The following is a 5,631-nucleotide window of genomic DNA, read 5'->3' on the forward strand; positions in this document are numbered from 1 at the left end:
AGGGACACATGAGCTACCCATCTGCCATAAGGTGCCCAGGAAAGACCTGAAGACATGAGTGAGACTTTATAGACTAGTCTCCAAGTCAGCCTCCAAGAATGGCAATAATTATAAGTTCAATAGTTCTGAATCTCACAGGATGCTAAGATCAGTATCTTCCATTGTTTCTGCATTCCTTTATCAAGTAAAATCTCATTGAGTGCTTACATGGAGCACTTTTTTTTTTTTAACTCTTTTAGGTCTCTTGAACACAGCAGGAAAACTGGAGAGTCAAGGTTATTACCCTCCAGGAGCTTCCAGCTGGGAGACAGGGAACAAACTAGTGGCTTACTGACCAGGGAGTTTGGCTTACAATAAGCCCTAGAAAATAGGGTGACATGTTAAAAGGTGAAAGGGACAGGGTGAGGGGAGCATGCAGAAGCTGGTCACAGACAGCTTCTTTGAGGCACTGATACGTGAGTTCAGAACTGAACATGAAGAAGGAGCAGGCAAGTAAAAAGTTGAGGTGGGACGGGAGGCATCCCCTGCAAAAGGTATGGCCAGGACAAGCACTGAGCCTGAAGGAGAGAAGGAAGGTCAGTGGGTGGAATGCATGGATTGTGGGGAGGTGCATCAGGAGAGATTGGAAAAGTAAGCAGGGCCAGAGGGGGATAAGGAGTTTGGGGTGTATTTTAAGTGCAGTGGAAGTGATTGAAGGAAGTTAATAAGTAGGAGACGACAAAGCCTGATTTACCTCTGAAGACAGCCACACTGGCTGGTGATAAGTGGAGAATGGACAGTCGGAGGAGAGGGCAAGAGTGAAAGCAGAGACCGGATCTGAGGCCGCTCGGGAGCTCCGGCTAAAGACAATGGTGGCTTAGACTAGAGAGATGACAGAGATGGAGAAAGTGAGGTCACAGAAGAGCAATATGGTGCAGATATGAGAGACAGAATGATTTTCAGTTGATTCCTGGGTATTTGGGAGATAACCTGGAGGGATAGTGGTATCTTTTACTGACCTTTGGTATTTTTTTTGAAAATTGATTCAAAAGGGATGATTAGAGAGTTAAAGTTTGACAGGAGGAAGGTGGGCAGCTTCTTATAGGCCAATGTGGTAACACAAGGAAATGTGTCTGTACAGGACCGGAGAGAGACCAGCAAATTCACAAAATTCTATGGGACCCACCCTCTGACAGCACTGTTTGTTCCCAGAGCATGGGATGGGCCTCCTTCTGCTCTCCCTGAGTCTGAGCTTGCGGTCTTCTTGGTGGCTTATGAAGGGAACACGCTGCTCCACCTGTTTCTAAGTGGGGCTGAGCAAAGGGGAAACAGTTCTTTAAAAGAGAGGGCTGGCCGGGCGCGGTGTGTCATGCTTGTAATCCCAGCACTTTGGGAGGCCAAGGCGGGCTGATCACGAGGTCCAGGAGATCGAGACCATCCTGGCTAACATGGTGAAATCCCATCTCTACTAAAAGAAAAAAAAAAAGAAAATTAGCTGAGCGTGGTGGTGCGTGCCTGTCATCCCAGCTACTCGGGAGGCTGAGGCAGGAGAATCTCTTGAACCCGAGATGCAGAGGTTTCGGTGAGTCGAGATCGCACCACTGCACTCCAGCCTGGTGACAGAGCGAGACTCCGTCCAAAAAAAAAAAAGTTGGGGGGGAGCTTACGCTTTTCATTAAATGTATACTTAAAATTTTAAAAATAGAAAACGATGGGCCAGGTGCGGTGGCTCATGCCCGTAATCCCAGCACTTTTGGAGGCCGAGGCGGGAGGATCATGAGGTCAGGAGATCCAGACCACGGTGAAACCCCGTCTCTATTAAAAATACAAAAAATTAGCCAGGCGTGGTGGCAGGCGCCTGTAGTCCCAGATACTCGGGAAGCTGAGGCAGGAAGATTGGCGTGAACCCGGGAGGTGGAGCTTGCGGTGAGCCGAGATCGCACCACTGCACTCCAGCCTGGGCGACAGAGCGAGACTCCGTCTCAAAAAAATAAATAAATAAATAAATAAAATAAAATAAAAAACTATGGATTTACAATCTTTTAAAACCTAGAGATCTGCTAGGCCTTCTAACTCATTTTTTTATAAATGAGAAAATACAGACCAAGAGACAATAAGTGATTTGCTAAATTCATACTGTGTTGCTGTTACTAAGAGAGCTTGTGGCCTTATCTGACAGTTGATGCTGAAGTATTTTCTTCATACCTCTGAGTCTCTCAAGTCAATTTCAAGTAGTGCTCAAGACTTTGCTAATCTACAAAGCCAGATCACATGATTTGAGACAGAATGGGAAAAACCTTCTTTTCCTTTATACACCCAACGATGCCAACCTGGGGTAGTTGTTTGTGATGGCCTTGCTTTCATTAAAAATAGACTATACAAAAGCTAAGCAATAAAATTTAAAATAAATATAATAAAATTATGTCAAGATTTAAACTTATCTTCACATAATTAAGTGGAACCACCCAGGACCTTTGATTTAGTAAACAGTAGTAAAATATTTTATCTTTCCCAAATCTTAACCTGTTTTCATTAATTATGTGGGTTCACCAGCAGAGGGCGACGTGATACCTTTTTTCTTTTTTGCCCCCTCCCCCAACAAACAATTTAAAACAAGTGGCTAGAAAATCAGAATCCCCTTGATTACATCCTATTGATAATTCACTATTCATAGGAGCAATTAGGGATTCTCTTAATGTCAGCAGAGTATACTTGTTCATTCTTTGGGGTAAGGATATGAGACTGGGTGATCTGGAGGACTTGCTGAGAGCTGGTAGGAATTTGAAGCTGTTTCCATGAATGTTTCTGCTGTGTGAGTTAACGAACTCGAGCTAGCATGGCAAGGTCATGTTATTTAATGTGAAAATTCTTACAAATAATGTTTCACAATTAACATTAAAAAGCTTGTTTTTGAAAAGGATCTGATTTTTGTTTCACAGACTAAAACTGGGAGTTTCATCTTCAATCAAGCTGGAAGACCCAAGACTATTATTTTGTTTGATATTTGGTCAAAGCAAATTAGTTAAATAAATTTTATCTGCTTCCAGCCTACGTTTAATTGGTAAATTTGAACTTTTTGAATGCAGTGTGTATTCGTATTGTCTCTTTGAAGAGTAAACTATTGTAAATCTGTAAGTGATCTTACTTCCTGAACTCTATTTTGTTTCTCAAGGCATTTAATGGTGATTAACAACTTCATATGTCTAATTTATTTTATTTAGGGAAACGTTGTGGTCTTCAAATTTTAATGAAAGTTTTATGTTCTATATGATGTTGTGTTGATGGATATTTGACATTATGCCTTCGCTAAAACCCATAAAACTGTACAACAAAAAGAGTAAACCCTAAGGTGACTTGTAGACTTTAGTTAATAATGTATCAATATCAGTTTATTAATTCAGACAAATGTACCACACTAAGGCAAGTTAATAACAGGGGAAAATGGGAATGTTCTCTACAATCTGCTTAATTTTTCTGTAAACCCAGTACTGCTCTACAGAGAAAGGAGGAACTAGAATGAGATTCCTATATCCTCCTTCTCCCTCCAAGGGAGGGAGAGACTGGTAGTTCCTGCCCACTCTTCCTGGGCAGAGCCTTTGCAGCATGGAGGCTTAGAGAATTTGCAGTCTGCTGCTGATTGTGTTTTAGTCAGTATTTCTGATTTAGGAGGTTGGTGGGGAGGCCCTAGAATTTGCATTCCTAACAAGTTCTGAGGTGATGTTTCAAATATGTCCAGGCAAAAAAGACCCCTCACAGAGATTTCTACAATATGGCATGTGAGTGAAGCCACACATATCTCAAACTTCAAGCCTAAAAACAAAAGACAGAAACCCAAACACCAGAGTGAACAAAGAACGTCTCAGAATGTCTGTGGGGACCAGTGATGCAAGGGATTGACATCTCCCTCTTCTCTTCATCTTGGCACTTCAGAAATCTCCCCAGCTTCGACACCGCCCTGGGGATGGGGCAGGACCTCTCATTGTTAAGCTATTGTCACTGCAGGCTAATGGGGACTTCAAATAGAACTAAGGTACAATTCCAGAAAAAAAAAATCTATTTGTGGCCGGGTGCAGTGGGACACGCCTATAATCCCAGCACTTTGGGAGGCCGAGGTGGGTGGATCATCTGAGGTCAGGAGTTCAAGACGACCCTGGCCAACATGGTGAAACCCTGTCTCTACTAAAATACGAAAATTAGCTGGGCATGATGGCAGGTGCCTGTAATCCCAGCAACTCGAGAGGCTGAGAAGGGAGAATCTATTGAACCCAGGAGATGGTGGTTGCCGTAGCCAAGATGGTGCCACTGCACCCGAGCCTGGGTGGCTGAGTGAGACTCCGTCTCAAAAAAAAAAAAAAAATCTATTTGTTACACACACATAAATTAAAGTTTTTTTAAAACTCTTTGTTCACCAAAATTAAGATGCAAAAAAAGTCATGACAGGCCAAAACAGAAATTCAGTCTTCGTAGGTTTGTGATATATTGGGCTTTTCATGTTTAAATAAATTCATTTGTGTTCAAGCATAAAGATGGGTACAATAATTGTCTACAAAGTGATATTTATCAATTTCAATACCGAAATTGGTCAGGGACAATGACAAGAACTTCATGATATAAACAAAAAGGCCCTGGATAGTTTTTGCTAGTCCCTTTTTTTATAGGTTGTTCTTATGCAGAGGGTTTTTATTATCACATCCTTATAAATAGTTGTATGCTATTCCTCAAGACAAGAGTCCACTTACTTCCATTCCGACAATGCTAGCTAACATAATTCATTAGCCAGAACTGTTCAATTTTATCACTATAGCAGAGAAAAAAAATGGTTATATTAATAATTTTAAGCCAGCATTTCTAAACATATAAGGATGTTTCTGGTGCATGCCTTATATGCAAAACTCATAATCCTCACAAAACTTTACAGGTGGGACACAGTAAAAACTAAAGCTTGAAGTTCTATTTAAACATTTGCAGATGGATTTTATGTTGCTCTATTCAAATTGATGTGAATACATTTTTTCTACTGTCTATTTATTTCCTGGTGGGGCTAGACATGTTTCTCTGTCAAAAGTAAATTGTCTTCTCTAGCTTCAGATTTCTTATATCAGGAGTATTCTATGAATGTAGTGACAAATTTTACAGAGAAAGTGACAAAAGAGATTTGTAAGACCCTGCCCATCATTATTCAGGATCTCCATTGTCCTTTCAGCTTCAGCCATCAGAGAAAGTTGAATGAACAAACGATACCCCCAGACAACCTTACCAAGTCATCTGTAGACTTACAGTCAAGTTTTAGTGCAGTTCACCCTAATTCACAACCAACAGGTATGGGCAGCTTTTCCCATGAATAAACTATAAGAACCCCTGTACAAACTTCAGCCCAGAGACCTGGGAGCAGCATCAGTGTATGATGCTCTTGAACCTCATGCTCTTGAACCATCAAATATCTTGTCAGGTACTGTTAAAGACAAGAAGAAAAAAAATTGCAGTTAAAGCTCCACGGAATTAACCACTGGGTTCATATTTCTCAGTTAAAAGCATATGACACAGCCATTTCCCGGGTTCCCAGGCCTCTGGGATATATATATACTCTCTGAGTATTTTTAAGAAGCAGATGACAGCATGAAAGAGAAAAATTCCCAAGACTTTCCCACACTC

This window comes from Homo sapiens, chromosome 2 (genome assembly GCF_000001405.40).
Source record: "Homo sapiens chromosome 2, GRCh38.p14 Primary Assembly".
NCBI classification, from domain to species: Eukaryota; Metazoa; Chordata; class Mammalia; order Primates; family Hominidae; genus Homo; species Homo sapiens.